The sequence below is a fragment of the Homo sapiens genome, chromosome 13 (genome assembly GCF_000001405.40).
Source record: "Homo sapiens chromosome 13, GRCh38.p14 Primary Assembly".
Taxonomy (NCBI): Eukaryota; Metazoa; Chordata; class Mammalia; order Primates; family Hominidae; genus Homo; species Homo sapiens.
In genome coordinates this window covers 67637536-67663095 of record NC_000013.11, presented here as the reverse complement: position 1 = coordinate 67663095, position 25560 = coordinate 67637536, and the positions used below count along the sequence as shown (strand labels likewise).

The 25560-nt window shown below is 34.5% G+C and overlaps 2 long non-coding RNA genes across 3 annotated transcripts in view; both read right to left on the bottom strand.

Moving 5' to 3' along the window:
* Positions 1–2785: 2785 nt before the first annotated feature.
* Positions 2786–13194, bottom strand: LOC105370250 (uncharacterized). Its single transcript, XR_942048.1, has 4 exons — positions 12660–13194; positions 5847–6044; positions 4459–4615; positions 2786–3271 (listed from the first exon to the last, which is right to left on the bottom strand). It is a non-coding gene; the product is annotated as an uncharacterized LOC105370250 (long non-coding RNA).
* Positions 13195–13939: 745 nt separating this feature from the next.
* The window catches only part of LOC105370249 (uncharacterized), a 52794-nt gene continuing 41173 nt past the window's right edge, over positions 13940–25560 (bottom strand). The window contains exons 5-7 of one of the 2 annotated variants that reach the window (XR_942046.3): positions 19115–19175; positions 18784–18857; positions 13940–15499 (exon numbers count right to left, since the gene is read on the bottom strand). This is a non-coding gene — a long non-coding RNA (uncharacterized LOC105370249). Of the gene's footprint in view, positions 15500–18458; positions 18547–18783; positions 18858–19114; positions 19176–25560 lie in introns of those variants that run through there. The other variant, XR_942047.2, reaches the window with a different exon arrangement.

Genomic DNA, 25560 nt, shown 5'->3' with positions numbered 1-25560 from the left:
AACCAGACCCAGCAGAAACATGGTTTGAGATTTTTTTTAAACTCCGTTACCATGCAATTGACATTTAGATGTGCATATGGACGCAGAATGGGACATACTTATATAATTGAAACCCAAAGGCCAGAACATGTCTAAACTTTTTGGAGATGATTACAACTATGGAATCATCTTATAATTAGCCAAAGTCTGGATTAGACATTCACTGTGAACTCTCACCCCTAGTGTGACTGACTTCCCAAAGACAGAGAAACACAGGGTAAACACTTTAAAAAGAAAAATACTTCTTAATATTTTCTTAATATTCATTAGTTCGCTCTACTAGGAGGAAAAATGAGCTGTGCACACAAATCCTATTCTTCATTTCCATTTCCCATATACACAGCTTAATTCTATCCGTGAAAAACTGGGATGAACACCTTGACCTGGCACCCTTCACAATCACCGTGTCCGTATTTTCAGAATAGACTACCACTGGCTTAGCATTTTTAAGTCTTTGTTTACCTTTTGATTTAGCCTCATCTTTCCCCTTTAACTTAAAATTCTCCCTTTATTAAGTGTAAATTTGTATACAACAGAATATGCTAAAAATAATTTGAGGTACTACGAATTGTCAGTGTACAAACACATACTGACAATGATATACAATTATGTATATGCACGATACATATTAGTCCTCTATACACATACTTATGCATTTATAGATATATAATTGTAAGATGTTTTTGCTTTCTTTGAATATCTTAACAGTCAATCAAGAAGCATATCTAAAGTAAGCTACTTTGTGGCTATCTTTGTATGCACCATTGTATTACCTTGTTCAACAAGGAAGAGCCCGGGTGACATAACAAAATAAATAGACACGATGCTGCTGCTTAATTCAAGTACTTAAAGTTCATTTTCTTCTCCTTTTTGAACATACTCTGATTAGTTTAAAAACATTTCAGAGGATTTAAGTAATACAATCATATATCAACGGAGAATACAAATCATTAAATAAAGGATAACAAAAATAAATGAAAATCAACCTATGTACATGTCCTATTTTTCAAAGATACATAATTTGAAGGCAAATGGAGTGTAAGTATAACTAATCATCCTGCACATCTGGCCCTGCTAGTGAAAAGCAGTTTTGTTTCCCATTAGGTCAATATTATAATAAAAATATGTATACAAAAATCACCCTGAAAATTATTTAACTCTCACAAAAATATTGCTTTAAATTTCTAGGAATAATAGGTAGGTTATAATTTTACCTCTGGTGGATCACATTTTGTTTAAATCATGACATTCTATTATATGAATTTAGTCCTCTAATCTGTCAGAATCATTGCCTTAAAGTTGAATATATTTATATTGATACAATAGCCTTAGGCTTTGTGCAACATTTGGTTTTTCTGTATTGGTAGTAATTTATTGAGTTGAATAAATACTATATTTATCAAAGCAGGAAATGGCATATAAAATTAATAATATATTGTTACAACAGAGTACTTCATTCACAAGGCATTATATATTATTGTTAATTTTTATGAACACAGTTATGTAAGTATGTCACTGTAGAAAGAAGCATCTTGAGATTACTTATATTTTTATCTCCTCCTTATCATCATAAATTATTATTAATTAACTGTAGTATGACTTTGTTCATGAAATGGTCATTAAAAAAATTAGTTATTCTGATCACTTAAGACAATTGGATCTTTTACGTCATTCTTCTTGCTATTATAATTAAAAATTACTTACTATTACCTGCAGTGTAATTAGTTTCATTAGTGATTTTTAAAATTAAAGATTTTCTAATCCTTCATGAGACAATTAAGTCATTTATTTATACCTTCTAAAATTAGAGATATATAAACATGAGGATGTTTATATTTATTCTGTTTTTAAGCATGACAAATAACAATAATATATATTGTATGTTGGATATGTAATCTCTAAATAGCACCAATATGTTGCCACATTCCATATGAAACAGAAATTCACTTAAGGAAATATTCTACTCTTATTCCTTCATTGGATAATCAAAGATATAACACATAATGCAATAGTGCAATTGCCAAGAGCAGGATTAATCAAGTTAAAGTTTGGGAATATTGACTGTCAATTTGTTTTAACAGTTTTATTATAGAGAAGGACTTCAATTTGGTAACTCTTCTTTAAAATGAAAACAAACTGTAGCCTTGCTAGATGTGTAAAGTAAGCATGCTATTTTGGCCTTGACACATACAAAATAAGAACATTATTCAACAGCAGCAAACTTGTCTATGTATCAGTTGGAACTACTGGTGCTTAGTGTCCTCCGTAGACATTGAACGCAATTACCCGATGAGTGGACAAGGTGATTGTTTTACACTGACTTGAAAGGGCATATGCAATAATTTAAAAATTCTTTTTTAAAAAACTGACTTTGGCCTTTTGAACTTGGCTTGGGAGAATGATGACTGAGCAGTCTTTAATGGAATTGCATTTGGACACCCTCAGTTAGACTTTAGGAAGTGTTCGTTGGCTCCTGGGTATTTGATAAGCATTTGACAATTGAAGATTCTTTCCCATTACACATAGGTATTTTCATTCACATGTTTACATAGATTATGAATGCAAAAAAGTGGTAATAAATATCACATGCTACATTTTAATTTTTTAAATTAACTGAATTTTTTTACTTATGTAGAAATGCAAATGAGAAATCAGGCTGCTTGAGATTATCCTACCACCACCACCACCACCACCACCACCATTTGTATATTAGTGAACTCAATACAGTATTTTATTTGTAGGAAGACTGACAGTGACAATGTGCAATTAAATTTCTTTGACTTATAAGTCTCTTATTAAATAATGTCTAAATAGTATGTATGAAATCTCTCTCCTTCCGTGGGGAGTATAATGGTAAGAAACAATAAATAACTGTCAATCTTTCTGGTTATCATCACTAATAACTATTGAGGTATAGTTTAGAACAAGCACTGCAGGATGCATTTCATATTATGGAAAGAGTCATAATCTATGGTCATGCAATTAGAAAGTCAGAAAGTTCTCTACATCTCTAGAAACTTAAAAAAAAAAGGAATATTTCTAAACTTGTCATATGTAGCAAAAGTCTTGTGAATGCCTAATTGGCTGATGATATTGAAAGCTCCTAAGGCTTTAAAAGTACTATTGAGGACCTGTCCTAAAACAGCAGGAAGTTGCTCATTCATGTCAGATTAAAATGTAACAGAAAAAGTACTTTGATTTTCAGATGCGGAGAAATGGTGGACTTCAAAAGCTGAAATCAGAAAGGAAACAAAGCTTATTAGAAAGGTTTATTATTGCATACCAAAGTCATCTTAGTTCTTGTTTCATCAATAAGAAGTTTTCAGGATTGTCCAAATGATGCATATGTCTTAAAAATAAAATGTAGAAACTGTGTTCATCAGTAAATGAACAGGGAAGCAGAAAAAAACATCGACTCCATTCTTTGGCATGGGTGCTCACTGATACAAAGGTGTACTGGTCATACAATTGTGCAAATGCTAAGTATAATGTGAATACAGAGATTTCCTCATGCCTAGTTACTTAGATTGTCTCTCTGCATTTGCCTGTAGTGAATCCTTCTCTGTTCCCTCTCCACATGTCTACCTCCTAAACAGCTTATCATCCTTTCCAGTTAAATATTTGTTATCAAAACATTTCCAGATGCTCCCAAGAAGATTTAAATGCTGTTTTGAATATTATTGTATTAAATAATACAAGAAGTTTTCAGGAATATTCATATAATGCTCATATTTTAAAAGTAAAATGTAGGAACTGTGTTCATCAGTAAATAAACAGGGAGTCCAAAAAAATTATCGACTCCATTCTTTGGCGTGGGTGCTATGATGATTTATTTTCATTATTAAATTATCTAGTATTAGGCATGCATACACACATGCACACACACACATACTCAACTTTGTGTTAATAAACAATATAGAAAAAATATAGGTGGGTGAATATGGAGGTGAAAGGCAATAGAAACTTTCTGTAGAAACCTTCCTCTGGCTACTCCATAGCCATGTAAATCCTTCTATCTATGTTGAAACTTTCCTACAACAATTGTCTCAACAATACCGTGCTTAGACCTCAAACTATGCAATTTTCACACTTAAAAATGAAGATGTACACATTTTCCCAAAAAGAGGTACATGAGGTCATATCAGTTACTATATTCTTCTCCAAATGAAGTAATTTCTTTTTCTGTGATAATTGTAGTCCTGCTTTAATATGCTATAAAGATCAAATACCATATTTTAACATCATTACAAGATCTCCTCATTATATGGTCATCATTAAAATGTTAACTGGCTCAGTTCTGGCTCATTTTCCAATGTGGTAACTTAGGGGTGTTCTGCTTACCAGATGTACAGTTTTTCTGATTATATATGCAAAAAATACAATAATAGACTCTCCATTGAGAACACCATAGTTAATTACCTGTTAATAATTATCCCTGCAGATAAAAATATTGTAATTGTCAGTCTCATCCTATGTCCACTCAGTCACTGCATCTGCCACCTCAGGATTAGAATTAAACCCATTGAAATAAGAAAGCTGAAGGTCAATGACAGCCACTGCCATCATCCTCCCAGGCCTATGAAGAACAGACACCAAAGAACTTTGTAAGGATGTTGAAGCCCTCCTTATCAGCACATTTTATAGACATTTAAAAAGACATTTAAAGGTAGCATTCTTTAAATCTTCACATGGGACATATCATTCATAACTCAAAATACACCAAACAGCTATCTCTAAAGATCCGGATTTCTTCTTCTGCAGTATAGCAGGGGAATTTTGTCAATCAAATCCATTTAATGTAGGCCACTGTTGAGACCAGCTTTCAGCCATCAAACCCAGAAAAGTGTTAAAGCCAGGCTGCTTGAGTTAACATTTTGAATCAAAAACTGATTGAATCAGAAATTGTTCCATGCACCTGTAGAGAAAAATTTTGCTTGATCTAATATTATGTTCTATCCTTGTTGATCTCGCACTCTTAAAAAAAATCCATCCCCACAAATAATATCTAGATTTCTTTTCACAGAAACTAGCAAAGGTTTGTAAATCCTTTAGTGCATAAGTTCTTTTCTCTCCATTCATTCTTTGTGTTGGTTCTCCAGAGTATTTGTAGATTTGCTCTAGTTATGGTTCTGAAGAATAAGGGTAAGTAGGATGTGGAAATGGAGAATGAATAAACCTTATAAGGCAACTACTTAAAATAAGATTTTTATAGAAATTTTAAGCAATAAATAGCTAGTATGTTCTGAAGGGTAGAGGATCTTCTCTTGATAAACAAACAAAAAGTGGCTTGAAGTTTGAAAGGTTCTTAGACTCATTGAAATCTATCCAAGTGTCTTCAATTTGGCAATATGAGACACCACATTTGGTATTTCAAGTAGAAAGATAATTGGCCATAACAGTGTTATCTGCAGGTGGAAATAACTAAACCAAAGGTGGAAAAAAGAAAAGAGGCAGTTACATCAAACTCAGGAAGCTGCCATATTCAAGATCCCAGTTCTTACCAAATAGTATTTCACATAAGTCACTAAATGAGGCTCTGTATTCTATCTGTGTTGCAGGATTGCATTTTTGTCTTATTTAACTAATTTGTTCTCTGATCAGGCTTTAATCTGAAAGTGTAACAACCTGACCTCATGGTATTATTTTTTAGTGAACTGTCCGGTATAGGTCAGTAGTCAACACATTCCATAATCCTTATAGCCATTACTGCCATAACAGTCAAGTGAACTGTACCCTTTCTAATAATTTCATCCTAGGCAACAGGTAGTAGTTTAAATAGCCATCTGCCTTTGCATGCCATGGATTACCTGAGTCTCATTTTCCAAATGTGATGAGATCAACATTTATAATCAGGTCAAATAACCATTCTCAGATTAACAATTGAAAGGTCTGTTTCCTGGTGCCACTTCTATTAGCACACGTATCAGTTGATGTTTGCTCAGGTCAGTATGAGACACCACTTTGGATATTTCATGCAGGAAGATAATTGGCCATATTGGTGTTATCTGCAGGGACAAACCAAAGGTGGAATAGGGAAAGTAAGCAGTTATATCAAACTCAGGAAGCTGTGATATACCCCGAACATGCCACAAGTCCTGCTTAAGTTGCTGGAGATTATATAAGGCTGTCATGGCTGCAGTTGTTTCACACCACAGCTACTGAGCGGGAATCCAGGATCCTGTTTTCCTGCTGCTGCTGCTGCTGCTGCTGCTGCTGCTGCTGCTGCTGCTGCTCCAATTACTGCTAATATTGTTGGAGTCTGCAGCCACCTGCAATCAACTTTGGTTACCCTATTCAACTGTTGCTATTGTCAAGGACACCTCCAGAGGTGGAAAAATAACCTTACATTTTCCCAAACTCTCACTTGTGCCTCCCAATGGTGGCATATTTTCTGTACATATTTTGTTTACAATATATTTCAGACTTTTTAAACAAATAAGAGATTTAAATATCTATTTTTAAATAAGTGAAGTGAAGTTTAATAATGTAAATTAAATTTTGAAAAGCAATTACAAAGATCAATCTGAGGGCTTATAAGGAAGGGGAAAATCGTCATAAACTTTGTCATAAATTCAGAGGAGAAATCATGTTTTCCATAGATATGAGCATCAGGGCATTTTGACCTCCTATAATCAGTTACTTCCTTTTTCGCAAAGTACTGCTTCTTCAAGTGATACCAGAATAGTCACCCCCATATCATCATCAAAAATGATATTCTCTGAACATTTTCTGTATTTGAAAATGATGCCTCTGTAGAAATTCTATATGTGAAGACATTTTGCAAACTGTTAAGCAGAATAGAAATGCTATGTTGTACAACTGTATATAGCACAGTACTAGAAATGTCTGAATTCTTTGGAATATTAAAATTAATTACTATTTTGAAACATAAGAGATGAAATAGTTGAAACATTTCAATTTTCTTCATGTAGAGGAGAAACATTGCTTCTGGAGAAAACTTTAAAAAACACATACACTCACATTTCACTAGAGAGGAAAAATTATATAAAATCATGCAAAAGTAATTGTTTTTGAAGTAGAATAATAGAAGAAATTAATCAAAACATCATATTTTTTCTATTATGTAAGATATTTTATTCTATAAATGTCATTGCTGACAGTATTTAGAGGTCAAAACATTTTTAAGGTCAGTAGACAGCCCTGCTTTCATAAAAACATCTAAAATTTCGAAAAAAATAATCTACATAATTCTCTGAAAAACTGAGAAATGTATCGGCACCCAAAATTTATGAAATGTTTAATGTCAGAAAGCACTGCAAACAGGTAAACATAGATTTCTCAATAATTTCAAAGCATTATGATCCACAATTTTAATTTATTCTGAAATATACCAGTAAGTTTGGCCACTATGCTTGGGGACTAATATCTGTCCAATAATCTTTTATCTGTGTAGTTGATGTTTGCCTTATTTTAATTTTATATATATGTGTATATGTTTGGTTTTATTATTCTTTAGTCAATTTTTATTTTATACTTTCCAATCTTTTTATACTCTCATTAGATTATTTTAAATTTTTAAAATACTGCTTTTAACTTATCTTATTCTTAATTATATAGATAAGGCATTTGAGAAAAATATATTAGATGGTCAATATCCGTAAGCTATCCTGTTAGATATCAGGAAAAATTTAAAGATATTTGGATTCCCACCCCCTCACCCTTTTTCTGCATAAAGACATGCATCTATGGGAGAAATGATGAGACAAGTACAAAAACTACAGGAATACAGATTAGAATACTACAATTGCCATAAAGCTAAAGAGAAAAGATATTTTGGAGATTCTGACACACCTTTCTCTTAACCAATAAAAAATCCACTGTAATATGTCCTTAATAGATTCTGAGTCTGTGTTGATATTGCATAAGCATCCCAATTTCCTGACTTGAAAACTTTATTTATTAAAAAAAATATATCTCCAGTATGAAGCTGGAGTCTACCTCCCTGTCTTAGCTCACAATGGGTAGATGCAGGTAAAGCTTCTTAGGGAGAGAATGGTCATTCCCAACCACAATTTATTGTAGAGTTTTAAATTGTACAATATATTTTACTTGTATTTAAATATATATGATTCATAAGATATTACCACTTTCAGTGACTATAAAACTTGTCATTGTACATTTTATTGAGGGTGCAATAACAAATTCTTCTTGCTTTGACTTTGATGAATGATTTCTTCATAGTTAGGAAGAAACCGGGTTCTGTACTGTGTGAGGAAGAGTGCAAAATATAAGTAATATAAAGTAATCTACCATCTATGGTTAAAATTGATCAACATTTATGAGTATATTATACAGGCCTGGGGTCCATACTACAAAAGAATTTTTTTTTAATTTTAAAGAATTTTTAAAACGCTGGAAATGTAATAAAAAACTATAAGTTCTATATTTAAAAAAACCGAGGGGCATGAATTTGTTGTCATTTTATTTACCTATTTACTTTTGTGGTGCAAAGAAAAAAATCTCAGGAGAAGTTGAATAAATCTATATAAACAGATTACAGATCACTTTATTACTACTCATGCACTATCTCTAGTACTGAAAAATACGGAGAAAATAGGTTAAAGTGTACACAAAAGTATTTAGGTGAGAATAAAAAAGATAGAGTGTAATACTCTGAAAGCAATTGGCCCTAGGTAAGAACTGGAGCGTTTATGAAAAAATCAGAAAGAGAAATTATTGGCTACAAGTTGGTTTCTAATCAACAGTATTTTAAGCTGAGGAAGGTAGAAAAGTGTATCCAGATAGAAGTGTACCCAGATAAAATCAGAAATGCAAGTGGGGAGAAATGATGATTTTGCTCAGTGATTTTGGGTGAAAATAACAGAAAAAATAAAATATTCTGTAGTTCAGATGTCTATATTTCTGTGTATAGAAATTTTAACAGCTTCATAGAAAATAAAAATATTAATATTTTATGTCATAAAAAGTAATATGGCATCCTACACACTTTACACATTTCTATAATTTATTGATATAAACATATTCACTATATATGTGGGTATGTGTATATATTTATTTAATATGTGAATATGTATATATCATATATACTTATATATGATATATACTTATTTATATATATGTAATATATATATATTTACCCACATAGTAGCTTAGAGAGGATCAGTAACTTATTTAATGCTCATAATTAGTCAAGGGTTGGTGCCAAAGCTAATGGGTCAATTCACCCTGGTGTCTTGCAAATGGTTCTAGTATATGGAATTCATAACAGAAAGATACAGACACGTGAATGTTCTCTAAAGAATAATTCATCCAGTATTTGGGTAAGGGCATAAGCACACACAAACCTGCACAAAGAGTATTAATATGAAAATTCACAAGCATAAAGCATTCTGTAAGTTATTAAAAAGGACAAAAGGAAAAAGATGTGAGCTATAGAACATTATTGTGTACTGACTGCTTGGCTAGACAAAGTGCATGCTTTTCTGCCACAGTTAAAAAATATATATGTAATTATATGTTCTTTGAACAAAATGAGAGGTTTTAAATATCTACATGTTCTGTGGTAGTTTCAACAAGCTAAAAACAAGGTTTGCCAACACTACAAAATTGAATAAATGGTAGTTGGTAACTCAAAATTTAGAAGAAGCAAAAATGAACAATCATAAATTGGACTTAATCCTGAACAAAAAGACAAAAAAAATTAGTGGTAATAAAGTAAAATAAATGCAACAAGTAATAGTCATATTATCTTAGAAGTTACAATAGTAAAGTAAAAAAGAACAATGTCCAACAGACAAAATATCCCTTGTAATTGAGTTATAGAGTTTTCTAAAGGTTCAGATAAAAGAAGTTGTGTTTTAAGTTCTGAATTTTTTAAGTTTCAAAAGGAATACGGTGTGTTAAAGAAAACAAAAACAAAAACTAATCTCCGGCAATAAATTACAAATGTTCACAAATAAATGTGAAATATGGCATGGATGACATGCTTCAAATAACACACCCATATCACTATAAAGGCACCAACTTTTAAGACAAAATCTTCAAAGACTATTTGTAAGGCAAACGAGCAACATAAAACAAAAACAAAACAGACATATAAGGTCACCTAGAATAGTACTAGAAAAAAACCTTCTGAGGCTTTTATAACATGTTACTAAATGTCATCTAATTTAGGAATGCTTCTATTTAGAGATGAATGACAAGAATTTATGACCTCCCTGTGGATGGCAACAATAGTAAAAGTTCTTTCACAGTTCCTACAGTGGATAAATATTTTCAGATTGTGTGGGGGCAAAGACAAGCTTATTCTTTTTGGAGAGTAAAATTAATTAACATTAATGATACTGATCTAACTTTAAATTAATTTGGGGGCTGTTTAACAGTATTATACAGGAGATATTTGTACATTTTCATATGCAGATGGATTTTGTTTGGGGTAGCCTTCAACAGAGAAATGACTACTGAGAACTCCTCAAAAACATTTTTAAAAATCATCTTTTAAATACCATAATCAAACAAAAAATTTAGTACCTAATAAAAGGTTGAAGTTGCCAAAAGACACACAACTTTCAGGTTAAACAGTTCATTTATCAAGATAAGCTAGCATCTGATAACAATATCTCAAATACGTAAAGGTTCAACCTAAGAGCAGTCTGCCTCTTGTGTATTTAACAATAGTGAGCCAATAAACAGGTCCACGAGGCAAGTCTTTACAGAGTAATTCAGAGACTCTCACTGCTATAGCCTCTGGCATCTGCAACATGTGACTTTCAAGGGTTCCAGCATCTTCTATATCTCACAGAACTGATTGTTATGGGTCAGAGGACAAACTCACATAAGTAAGTGGGAGCTGAAGGCAGAAATCTCTGAATACTATGAGAAGAAGATAAAACGGGCTGGAACTTCAATCCTGGCAGGAAAACAGGATGAAACAGGCCCCACATATAGTGAGAGAATGGAGGCAAAAGCCCCCTAGGGGAAGTCTAGGACTGGTACTATCTCTGGCCACATGTGAAAGCAGGCAAGAGATTTTCTGAATATCTTCATTTTGGGGGACTATGATTCAGGATTTGCCTTTGGGAATGAAAGAGAAGAAAACTAATTTATTGTGCAGAAGCCTGGTGCATGTTCTGCACTGTTGAAGATTATTATGCAGTCCTCTTGTAGGTGTCCACAAGCAATACTGCCTCTGAGTCATGATCCTTAAGAAGGAGTTGAGGTGTGAGATAACTGTAAAAATGCCTGAGAGTTGAAATGAGTGTACAGAAAGGAAAGCATAAGAAAAAAATCATATGAATTGTAGGCCCTCAGAACAAAATGACAATATATGGAAAGAAATACAGGCTATGAGAAGAACTAATAAAACTAAACAAACTTACTTGTTATCAATTAATAATGTTGAACTGGAAATATCAGAGTACACCAAAGATGTTAACATAAGTGTATTTTTAATGCTCAGAGTGAATATGAAAAAAAAAAAGCATCTATAAAACAAAACTAAGGCTGGACGTGGTGGCTCATGCTTATATTCCCAGGACTTTGGGAGGCCAATGCCGGTGGATCACGAGGTCAGGAGATCGAGACCATCCTGGCTGACACAGTGAAACCCTGTCTCTACTAAAAATACAAAAAAATTAGCCGGACGTGGTAGGATGCACCTGTAGTCCCAGCTACTCGGGAGGCTGAGGCAGGAGAATGACTTGAACCCGAAAGGTGGAGGTTGCAGTGAGCTGAAATCGCGCCACTGCACTCCAAGGTGGGCGACAGAGTGAGTCTCTGTCAAAAAAAAAAAAAAATCAGAAAAGAAGATGGAGACAAAAATAAAAAAATTGTGGAAATGGAAAAATGTAGTTAGTAAAATGAAAACAAATGTCCGCTGAAAACAGAGAAAGAGATAATTAGTGAATCAAAAGTTATAATTGAGAAAGTACATATGAAATGAAAAATCTGAAAAGCAGATTGGGTAATTCTAAATTATATTTAATGGAAGTTCTTGAAGAAGATAATAAAATAATTGGGGAAGCATCAAAATTAAAATAGAAAATGATTCAAAATTTTTGGTAATTAACCAAAAAAATTCCATATATTAGAATGAAAGTATATTCCATTGCTGAATGGTACCAACCTACAAACAAACATAGCTATATATATATATATATATATATATATATATATATATATATATACACACACACACACATACAACTCAATAGCCATACATTATATATACACACACACACACAAAACTCAATGGCTATATTATATATATATATATACACACACACACATATATATATCTCCCAATTTCAAAATGTGTAAAGAATGTGAACAAGCATTTCTTTGAAGACATAAAAATGACCAACATGTGTATGAAAAAATGCTCATCATCATGACTCATTATGAAAATGTGAATCAAAACCGCTATGAAATATTACCTCACATCTAGTAGTATGGCTCTTATGAAAAAGACAGGAGATAACAATTGTTAAGGAGGGTGTGGAGAAAAGAAAACTTTCATATGCTGTTGGTGGAAATCCAAATTGATGCAACCATTATGGAAAACAGTATGGAGGTTCCTTAAAAAATTAAAAATAGAAGTTCCTATGATGCATCAATTCCTCTTCTAGGTACATACATACCCCAAAAAGATGAAATCTGCAGTTCCTCAAGGTATCTGGCCTCGCCATGTTCACTGCGGTATTAATCACAATAGTCAGATATGAATACAACCTAAGTGTCTATTGACAGAAATTTGAATAAAGAAATTGTGATATATATACACACTGAAATATTATTCAACCTTGAAAAATAAAAAAATCCTACCTTTTGTGACATTGATGAATCAGGAAGATTATGCTAAGTGATGTAAACCAAACATAGAAAGAAAAATACTACATAATCTCACTTATATTTGAACTCTTTTTTTTTAAAAAAGTGAAAGAAACTGAAAGTAGAACTGTGATTTGGCTGGGGGATGGGCCAGGGAGTATTAGGTAATGTAAATCAAAGAGTACAAAGTTGCAGCTATATAGGTTGAGTAAGTCTAGAGATCTAATGTATAGCATGAGGATTACAGTTAATAATATAGTATTGTATACTGGAAGTTGCTAAGAGAGTTAACTTTAGGTGCTCTTACCACACACAAAAGTAACTATGTGAGATGGTATATACATTAATTTACTTGACTGTAGTAACCTTTTCATTATGTACAGTCAGCCCTCCATATCCATAGCTTCCAGGTACACAGGTTCAACCAACTTCAGATGGAAAATATTTGAAAATAATTAAAAATAACTATACAATAAAAATAATATAAATAAAAAATGAGACAGTATAGCAACTATTTACATAAGATTTATTTGAATTGAGTGTTATAAGTAATCTCAAAATGATTTAAAGTCTAAGGGAGAATGTGTGTAGGATACATGCAAATACTAAATGATTTTAAATAAGGGACTTGAACATTTGCAAGTTTTGGTATACATGAGGTCCTAGAACAAATCGCCTGCAGAGACTGAGGGATGACTATATATATATATATATATATATATATATATATATATATATATATATATATATAAAATAGAAAAATTACATTGCATACTTTAAATATATACAATTTTTGAAAAATGCTTAGAAAAAATAAATTATTAAAAAATTAAGGAAAATGGAAAAATATTAAAAAGTACAAAAGTGAAAAGATTATAATCTGACATAAGACTTCCTATCAGGAGTAATAGGTGCTATAAGTCACTATAGTGACAGAAAATAAATGCATCTTTTCTTCTACATCTTGCTAAACTACCATTACTGAGTTTAAAAAAAAAAAGAAAGAAAAAACAAAGAAAATAAAAGAAAGAAAAGAGAAGAGAAAAAAAGAAAAGAAAACCGAAACAGTTTCACCAATAGTTTACGGCTCCAGATGTTTGCTACAAACATTGAATGACAAACTTGGACAACAAGATATGTAAACACAAAAAGTGAAGAGAAAAAAACAATAATGAGCAAAAACATAAGTAAAACATGTCAATAAATCATCACGTATGAAAAGATTATAAAATAAGCTATTTTTGTTTTAAAACAAGGTAGAAATTTTACAAAATCAAAACTTCGCAGATTGTTGGAGAATATTTAGACAAATTTCATAACGTGTTTACCTCAGTAACTTGGATGGGTTAGAAATATATAAAAGAATAAGCAAGCTTGTTAAAATTGTAGGAAAACTTACTTAAAGAATATACCTAGAGTACATAGCTTTCCAACACAGCAAAAATAAAAGGAGAAAAAAACAATGTTTAATCCAAGAGGAGGCAAAAGAAAAAAAGTCATTGGTAGTGTTTTGCTGTTTTGGAAACTGAATAAAAACTGAGTGACATTTTTATCAAGTCCTTAAGGATGTCACTTTATCAATTATGAGAGACATATTGGAGGAATTTCTAATAGCATGACAATCTGAAATCAAAAACATATTTATAAGCTAAAGTGAGCATATAAAATCAATAATTTATTAGACAAAAATGATAAAGTTTAAATTCCTAGCTTTAAGTTGTAAATACTTCTGTGATAAGCAATTTGCAATATAAGTTATGCTCAAAAATGATTTATAACATTTAGTTAGCACTTACAATCCCTCAAGAGCTAGACCAAGCACTTCATATATTATACATTAGCTCATTTAATCCTCACAGCGACCCAACAAGCTATACAACTATTAAATGAAGAAACCAAGAATCACACCTAGGCAGATTCATTCTAAACTCTGCAGTCTTGACCACAACACTCCACAGCTTTAAATATTATTCTCTTGTTAGTTGTCAGGCTCCAGTATCTTCATGTGTTCACTCTCAATCACTCTTCTGTCCTTTACTGTATGATGTCATTCTGCTTTATAAAGTGTGCTGATCAAAGAGGTTGTGGTGGATTGATTTGTCACTTTTTTTGGCCTCCCTGCCACAGTGGGTGACATCTATTTCCTTCCCCTTTCTTTTTTTTCAAATTTATTTATGTATTTATTTACTATAAATTAACATATAGAATTGCATGTATTTATCACAAACAACATAATGTTGTAAATTGGATATACCTGTGGATAAGTTAAATCTAGCTAATTAACAAATGCATCCCTTCACATCATTATCATTTTGTGGTGAGAACACTTAATAGGTATACTCAACATTTTTCAAAATTACAATATGTTGTCATTAACTATAGTCACCATGCTATCCAATAAATCTATTCCCTTTCCTTTTGAATCTTGGATGGCATTCTTTAACCAATAGAATATGCCCTTTTAGAATCCCAACACTCTTATTCTGCAAATAAGCACAGTTTAGCCTCCTTGAAGATGATAAATCACATGGAGAGAGACACTGCACAGACAAAGAATGTCCAGACACTCCAGCGAAGGTCCAGACATGTAATTGAGGTCATCTAGGATCATTCCGTCTCACATAGCTGCATAAGGTACTACAGGCAAGACCTGCAAAAGAAATACCCAATTGAGAGTCCAAACTGACAACCGTTAGAAATATGAACAAATAAATGGTGGTTGTTTGAAGGTAGAAAGTTTTGGAGTGGCTTGATGTGCAGAAAATTGTCCCTGAAACTGGGGTTAATAAGCTTTCTGTTTTTTTGCTAGTCAGACACATCTTGAATATTGAGTCTATTTCTGAACTCCCTAACTTCAAAATATCTTTGACAAATATATCTTAAGATAAATAACCATAATAATGATGGTAGAGGAAAATAAAATATCTGGACCCCAAACTCACTAAGCCAAAAGGAAAAGTCAAATTTGGGAAGTGAATCAGGCTAAACAGCCTCTCATTTTTGTTCCTACAAAGATAAAAGGCCACATACTACCCTAGGAATCCACTCTCACAACTTGCTCCTGAGGAAATGTCTTGTAGGCCCCAAGATCTTTACCATAAAACAGTTCTGTTGAATTCACACTTACAATGTGAATCAACAGCTTATCTTCACAGGTACAAGACAAGACAGGCCCAGGAGTCATCCCTCTACCCACCTGAGACAAATGTATATTAATGTAGATTAACTGAGCTAACCAGAAAAATACATAATAGACTATTCTTCTACCCCATCATTTCACATGTAAAACATGTGGATTCAGTAACCGCTGATCAAAGCTTCAGAAGAATGCAAACACTTGCCCCTTTTTATCTACGCTCCCTGGTTTTTTTTTTCCTCTTTCCTCTGTTACCTGCTCTTTTGCCCTTAAATATTGAAAATATTTAAGTCCCCAAACCCTCTTTGGAAAAAACATAGATTACAAATATTCCTGTGGTTTTGTGTTTCTTTTACCTGTGTGTACCCTCAATCTTGGCCAGATAAACCTCTACGTTCACTGAGACCCGTCACAGAGACTTTTTGGTTTACAATGACGTATTCAGATACTACACGCAAATAAAAAGACAATGGATGCTCAAAACTATTAAGCTAGACTCAGAAAGTCCTGTAAATATGATCCAAGACTACTTCAAAGATAAATGTGGAATGATGCCTCATTTATGTTCTACCAAGATGAGCAACTGCATGTCATTGTCAGAATTATTTATTATGAAATTCTGACTGGTAGATTCCAGCTGCAATAGAAAGCATGTGCCTTGACATATATTGCTTGATAGGCTGCTTGACAAGCAGAGTTTAAGACAGGAAACAAATGGCAGGGATACATTTAATGAATTAAAATGGACAAAACCATCGTCAACTTTGTCTTTTATAGTGACATGGACCTGTGCAGTGAAGCCAGCAAATTGTGCTTGAGATGGAACTTTACCTCCCAAAGCAACTGCAGGTCAGTGTACTGTATTGCCTATTGTGAGTCATTCAATGGAAGTAAAATAGGTTGAAGACATAACATTTCTTGTGAATGTTGGATCAATGATTGTGTAGCAGGCAGATTAATGGCAGAAGTGGAATTGACACAATGACCTCTACTCGATATAGCAAAAGATTTATGAGGTGAGAGACAAAATAGGGAGAAAGGAACTGATAAGTATTTGATCCCTAGGTGATTGCCAATCCATCTGCGGTCTGAGATGGTGAAAATATTGCCACATGTGATCAGGGATTTGTCTTTTTAATGCAAGTTATATAATATAAGTTTGACTGCAATTGAGTAGAAAACAAATAGCGAAAATCCCCCCTCCCCAAAACTACAGTGATTGCTGTTGACTGCATTGGAAAATTGAAACCATTAACTAGGGACTGAGTAATTAATTTGATTATTTGAAAAAAAAGGATTCATTTTTACCAACATCTGGTGATGGATATATTGCTTAATTGTGGTAATAATTTCATAATGCATACGTTTTTGAATATATACAATTTTTATGTCAATTATACTACAATAAAGCTGAAAAGGTTTTCATATTGATGTTTCAGTACTCTTTGGAAGAATTTGAAAGAAAATTAAGGTTAATCTACTAGTTTGATGCTTAGGTGTTAAAGAATAAAGAAATCCATTTGGAATGAGTACCTAGTTAAAATTAGCTGTGGTTTTGGCATTCAATTCATTCATGGCAAAAATGTAGCACATCTGCCCCCCTTTAAGGTGGTAAAATCCAGAGTCAGGGGGAAAATGAGAATTGTCCTCTTCCCTTTTTATGTTAAAATGGAACAAGCCCATTGAACAATTAAAGTGCTAAAGGGAGCAACCCCATTGGGTTGGTTATACAATAATCAAAATAGAGCTATCTCCAATGATGTGCTGCTTCTTCAAACAATGATGGAAACAATAATTCAAGGAAACTTCAATCTTTCATTTCAGGGGACAAAAGAACATTATAACTCAGTAGCAGAATAGCATCCTCAATTATTTTTGATGGAGTTTAAGTAAGCACAAAAAGTTAGAGCAATTTGAAAAACAACAAAGAAAAAGGGAAACTCTGAGCCTAAGGGCAATGTTGGGGAAAAAAAGATTAAGTCATTTGGGATTGTTCTGTTGTATATTAAATAGGGCGGGGAGTGATTAAAGTGAAAAAAATAGATGGGTGCCCACAAAGCATCTACTTTACAAATCATCTCCCTTAAAGGATTTTTGACACATTAAATCTATCTTTTCTGGATGAATTTAAAATAGATAAACTGAAAGAAGAACTAAATGGGAGAGCTGAAACATGTTGCAGAATTTCATCTAATCTATGAAGTATAATTTAGTCCAGGAATTCCCAACTGAAACTTCCAGCATGAACATCAAGTCTCTGTGAAACTTTTAGGTTAAATATAAAGGAATATGGAGCAATTCTTCTTTGGCTTATTGGATAAAGGTCCCCAGTACCATAGCATCTCTGCCAGTGACAGTGAAAAGAAACTGCAGGGATTTCAGTAGAATTGGGTGGTTAGAGAGATGCTTTCTTGAACGGCATTCAGTTAAAAATGAAGTTACAGATTGAAATGCTAGAAACTACAAGGTATTCACCTCAATCCATATTAGCAATGATTGTGACATAAGTGGTAAATATTGCTGTTATCTCCTTCAGGTCAAATTTCAGCCAAGTCTGTCCTCTGCCAGAATAAATTGAACATAAAAAGTGAAACTTCCTCAGCCTTATTTAGTGATATATATAGAATTCCCTAAGGGTAGCAGAAAATTTCTACTTTGACTTAAAATGGTAGAAGTAGGGGTAATAATATCAATGCACCTATTTTATAACAGTCTGAAATTGTTAAGCAAATTTTGGAGTCTGATGGGAGACTAATGGTGAATGAATGATATAGTAAACTTTATAAGGGCTGTAGTACCTGATAAGCTATCCAAAAGATGCAGCAGACAAAGAACAGTGAAAGGTGACTGGGCTGATGCCTTGTTTTTGTACCTACGGCAAAAGAAAGTAAAGCTCAGTTCGTCTTTAGGTGGGTACAAAGTCAACATAATTTTACTATAATTGTTAGAGTAGGCAGATAGCTAGACATGAGCAGGAGAGGGAGTCCCTGAGAAAAGGAGCTCTGGAAAATTTCACACCCCAGAGACCACCCAAAACATGCATTCTAGATATGAGCAGAGAGGAAGATAAATGCCTGTGTAAAAAGGAATGACCCAAAACACCCCTTAAGAAGCTCACTCCACAGTTACCTTGTCAGAATGCATCTAGCTACACGCTGATAAGAGAGAAAGGAGGGCCAAGGAGCAATTCCTAAGAGAAACACAGGCAGAGTAAGTAAAGATCTAACCACAATACATCCTTCCTGGGGTGGCAGTAATGAGCAGGGCTGCCAGTAGGTAGAATTTGTAGCCAACCCTGGGCCCATACTTGTGCAGCCACTGACAGTAAGGGAGAATCCCACAAACCTATGGGTGGGAACTAGCTGGGGAAAATGGTGAGGATTTAAGGCACAAGTGGGAAACTAGACAAAGACAAAGTCCTTGAGACAGAGGAGGGAGCTTAAAGCAAGAGTCCCACATAATAAAAAACACAATGGAGAACTCTTGGGACTGCTGACTCCTTTTCTTTCAAGCTGCCTGCTCTGCCTTGTCTTTCAGAGTGTTCTGTCTCTTTTGCTATGTAACCCTTGCTGCTACTACTGCTATTTACCAGCCAGACCAGCCTGTTCCTCTCATGGAGTGTATGTCCTTCAATCAAATCTCTGCTCTCTATTTTCCTTCAGTAAACTCCCTTCAATTGACTTTTCTTCAATAAATTCTCTGCTCTCTTTGCTAAATTCGTCTCTTGGCCTAATTCTTTTTCCCAAGTAAGACAAGAACCAAGGACTTCCGCACTTCCCGGTAACACAATGTCAAAGGTATTTAAATTGCACCATGGGCTGCTGTAATTTTATGAGGAGAGTTTGGGGCATGATATTGGTGAAAAGCAGGCTGAATCATTGTGTTGTTGGCATTAAACAGTAGAAGAATTGGAAAAGGAAGCAAAAGAAAACTTGACAAAAAAGCCACATGAGTCTTATAGAGAATTCTTGAAGGTAAACATTTCAAAAATTCAGGAGTTTGCCAAGAATCCTGTGAAATTTTGAGAATCATTTGCCTGGTACCTCAAAAAATCTTTCCAAAAATAGAGATGAACTACTGTTTCTAAAGAATCTGAATATGAAGAAGACAGTTCAACATCTAGTAGTTGTTTTTCACTCTAGATTATACAACTTCCTAATTTTTGCAATCTCATTGCCTACTTAAAATAGGTACAGTGAAAGGAGGACTAAGTGACTAGGAAGAAGACAATTCAAATGCAGAACTGAATAGAGTTTCACAACTTGGAATATAAAAAGTGCTGCACCACTGAGGCCATAAGACCCAAATGAGCACATGCTATTAGACATTCTATAAATTTGTCCACCATACTCATCTGGCTTTTTAATAGAAGTCAGATCTTGCCTCCACAATCCTCTGCTACAGGTTACTAAGGATATACATCTGGGAGCTACCAAATGCTGCTTCTCCTTTCAATAAAAACAATTGATTTGATGTTAGGCTCTAGTGGAAACAGCAATCATCACTAATAGAATACAGGATACAGTAGGGAGTTTGCTTTTTAAATTATGTTGCATGGGATTTGAAGATGGCAAAAGGTTAGAAAATTTCAGAAAAAGGACACTCTGAGCCTATGATGAAAATAATGGCTAGTCTAAGGAAGAGGCTTCCAACAGTTAATTTATCAAGTAAAAGTGTGTGTGTGTGTGTGTGTGTGTGTGTGTGTGTGTGTGTGTGTGTGTGTGTGTGCATGTCTACTGTATACACACAGACATACTGAAGCAGTGCCTCAGGAGGAAAATCACATGATTTGGCTACCATTTACCTCATCTTCAACCAACCCAAGGACCCCTTCAATCTCCCATATCCAATTGCAGAATAACCTGACCATATAACTCTCATCTTGATGAAACAATGCTGGAAGCATGGTATATGGCAGGGTGTGTAGAACTTCTCAGAAAATTTGGGATTTTAGCAATTCATCTAGTGAAGGAAAAAAGTCATGGAAAAAGCAGAAGAGTAGTACAAGCGGCTGAATTACTTGCAGTAGTACATTTTGTTTTATGGCAAAACTGTACTGAGTGGTGTGTGGGTTTTTACAGCTTCTTGGGCAGTAGTGACAGCCACCTGTATGATTGATTAACAAGGTGATAGACACTTGGAAAATTAAAAATGCCTGAATGTGGAGTTCTCTAATTTTGGGAGGACTTCTGAAGCCTCAGAGAATAAAGACAGGATAGGATGTGTTGGATGCTCCCTAAAAAATCTAGCAGGAATTTCTAAAGAGAGTGAAGTGTGACATTTCAAACAATACTTGAAGTTGCATAGTGAGTATAAGAAATGCATTGTCATAGGGACTACCGGACTATAAAACTGGGTTGGATGAAGATATATTTCCTTATTTCTATTGTACCAATAGTTGCCTATGACTCTTCAGAATAACACAGGACTTAAGAAAAAAAAATTATCATGGAATTAATTTCACAGGGATAGAGCCCAGTCCATGATTATCAGGTGGATCAATTAGACCATTACCTATAGCCTCGAGAGGATTTTTAAGGATTTGATAGACAATGGTACATTCTCCACTTTTCTGTTGTAATTCTCATTACTGAAGCAATGGTTGAGAAAGTTTTAGAAGAATAGGGATAATGTGGACTATTTCAATTTGGGGCACCCATATATATTTTATCACCTTAGCAGACCTACTTCCCAGTGACTGAGATATGGTTATGGGCTAAAAGCACCATATTGTTTGGCTATGTTTCATTCTCACTCTCAAAGTAGTGGTTTGAGAGGAACTTGGAAGGAGCAATACAAACATTTGCTAAAAAATGAAAAAAAGGAATAGAGAACTTGCCTGCAGGATTAGACAACTGGGTTTAAGACTTGAGAGATCTAAATTAGAATCTTTGGCAGTGCAGAAGTGAGAATTAATGTGTAGGGCATTATGTCATAATAAAACTCTTTGTCTTTATCATTTGACAAGTTATTTCTGTTTTATTGTAGGATCCCATAGTACCATCACCTTGCTTCAATTGGTTAGCTACTATCAGGAAAGACATTTTGGCACAAGTCATTGTCTCTAAGCCTTTAAACCTTGTAGTACTTATTCCAAAGGAATTCATGGGTTGAAAAGACTTTCTGTTGGCCTGCATTGCTTGGTCGGAAGAATGGCTGTTGCTCAGAAATCCAAGAGTGAGAATAAACGCAAGAGAATTCCTTCTGCTAGTTTTACGATTGAGCACCGTACTTGAACCCCTCAGTGCAATCTAGGTAGAAAGAGTCAGGAGATAAGTAAAAATAGAGAACATTGTAGTTTAAAGGAAAGGAACCTGGAAATGAGTGATAATACCAGGAAAGTTGCTAATTTTTTGTTCCCTCAAGATTGTATCAGTACAAGAGAACGATCGAAGTTTGTTTGTGTTCCCTGGGGAAGATCAGCGATCTTGTTTCTTTTTGAGAAATGTCAGTTAGACTGAAGATGATGTAGGAACCTTACCAAAAATTAATTCTGGTTATTCTGGATGAAAAAAACAAAAACAAAAACAAAAAAATCCATGTCATGTAGCACTGTCCAATGGCCTTACTGAATTTCGGTCACTGGAACCTTCTTTTGGTTAAATGTTTATAGATTATGTTCACTAATCCATTTTTCATGCTTAAATCTGAAGACATTATATTTGAATTGCACAGATTTATGATTATACAATAATTGATCTCATGTACACATGTGATCTGTGCACCAGCGTGACACATTGTTGAAGCAGTTGCCTATATATGAGGGATTTTGTATTGCTGCAGCTTGCCTGATATGCCAGAGCCTGCTTTGCTGTTTCAAATGTAATAAATGTGAATGTGCATGAACTTAATAACATGATTTGAAACATAATGAGGAAGATAATGGGTTGATCATAATGACAGGGACTAATATAGGGATAATACAGAGTACACCCTCACTGCTGTTCTCTTTTAGAACTCCAAAAAAACTCTAATTATGCAGTTCTTATGGCACACATAGACTGAGTAGATTTTAGGAGTGGAATGTGCAAATTAATGATTTATTAATAAATAAAAATGGGGGATGCAAATACAATTTTTCTAGACTATACTTATACTCAATAGTAGCAATGGCAAGTGTAGTGGCAAAGTCAACACCAGCCCCAGTGATCTTGTAGGGGTTCAGGAACCATTGATTTGTAGCTATCTGTTTTGAGCCAGGCAGAAAAAACGTTTTTAGAAGTATTACACAACGTTGAAAAGTACATAATATATTACAATATAGAAATTTTAGAGGGATGACTTTGGCAAGAAACTAGTCAAACCTGGCAATACTTGGAAAGATGATAAACAATAAGTGTTTAGAGAAAATCTATCCATAAAATAATAAGGCAATTTTGCTGAGTGACACTTAGCCATTTGTGTTGCTATAAATAAATATTTGAATTTGGCAATTTATAAAGAATAGAGGATTATGTGGCTGATAATTCTGCAGGATTTCCAAGAAGAATGGCACTACTCTCATTGGTTTCTAGTGAGAGTCTCAGGCTGCTTTCACTCATGGTGGAAAGCAAAGGAGAGCTGTTATGTGCAGAGATCACATGGTGAGTAAGGAAGCAAGAGACAGAGACAAGGAAGGTGCTAGACTCTTAAACAACCAGCTCTGGCAGGAAGTAATAACTATTAGAGCAAGAACTCACTCACACTCACCCTTATGAGGTCATTAATCTATTCACTAGGAAACTGCCTCATGACTCAAACACCTCCCATTAGGCCCCACCTTCAACATTGGGGTCAAACTTCAACATGAGATTTAGAGGGGACAAACATCCAAACTACAGCATTCCGCCAAACTATAGCATTCTCATAGTGCAAAATACAATCATTCCATCCCAATAGTTCTCAAAATTGTTAACTTATTCCACCATCAACTCAAAAGCCTAAAGTCAACAGTCTCATCTCAGACTCAAAGTAAGTTCCTTAGAGTTGTGAGCTTGTAAAATAAAAACTAAGTTATTTATTTCCAAGATGCAAAGGCTTACAGGCACTTAGGTAACCATTTATATTACCAAAGGGAAAAATCAGCCAAAGGAAAGGGGTAATAGGTCCCACACTAGTATAAAACCCAGCAATGTAGGCCTTAAATCTTAAAGCCCCCAAATAATATTTGACCTCATATCCCACATTCCAGGCACACTGGTGCCAGTCGTGGGCTCTTAAAGCCTTGGGTGCCCTGCCACCATTGTCTTGCTGGGCACAGACCTCACAGCTGCTCTCATGGGTTGGAGTCAAATGCTTAACAGCTTTTTGAGGCTGATGTCACAAGCTGCCAGTGGCTTTACAATTCTGGGATCTGGAGGTTGGCAATTCTGCTCTCACGGTTCCACTAGGCATTACCCTAGTAGAGGCTCTCAGGAGGCTCTGCCCCTGTGATAGGCTTCTGCCTAGGAGTTAAGGCTTTCTGATACATCAGCTGAAAGTAGATGAAAGCTGCCACGCTCCCATGGCTCTTGCATTCTGGGCACCTGCAGACTTAATACCATGTGGATGCCACCAAGGCCTATAAATTCTCCCCCAAGAGTGGTGGCTTAAGTCATACCTGGGGTCATTTAAGCCATAGGTGATCCAAACTGAAGGACCGGAATGCAGAGAGAAGCTTCCCCAGGTAGTATAGTGCAGTAGCACCTAGGCCTGTCCCCCGAAACTTTTCTGTCTTCCTAGGTCTCTGGAACTGTGATAGGAGAGGTGGCCTCAAAAATTGCTGAAATATCTTCAGGGTCTTTTTCCCATTGTTTTGACTATTAGCACCTGGCACTCTTTTATGCTTGCTATTTTCTCTAGCAACTGGTTGCTCCACAGCACCCTTGGAGTCATCTCTTAAAAACATTCTTCTTGTCAATATCACATGGTCAGGCTGTGAATTTTAGAAATGTTTATGCTCTGCTTTTCTTCTAATAATACATTCCACCTTTAGATTGTTCCTTTTCTCCCACATCTGAATTAGGTTGTTAGAAGCAGACATACCACATCTTAAATGCTTTGCTGCTTAGAAGTTTTTTCTGCCAGATACCCTAGGTCATCACTCTTAAGGTTGGCATTTAACAAAGCCTTAAGGTATGAACAAAATGCAGCCAAGTTCTTTGGTATGGCATAATAAGGGTAACCTTTACTCCATTTCTCAATAAGTCTTTCATTTTTATCTGAGACCTCATTAGCATGGGCCTTACTGTCTGTCAACATTTTGGTCACACCCACTTAACCAATCTCTGAGAAGTTCCAATCTTTCTTTCAATTTCCTGTCTTCCTCTGAGCCCCCAAAGTCTTCCAACCTCTGTCCACTACCCAGTTGCAAAACGATTTTAACATTTTCAGGTATCCTTATATGAACATCTCATTTCTCAGTATCAGTTTTCCATATTAGTCCACTATTTGTATTGCTATTTACTTACATTTTTTTTTAAGTTTATTTGGCTTATAGTCCTTTAGGCTGTACAAAAAAAAAAAAAAAACATAGCATGAACATCTGCCTCTGTTGAGGGCCTTGGACTACCTCCACTCATAGTGGAAGGCGATGGGGCCTGGCATGTGCAGATTTC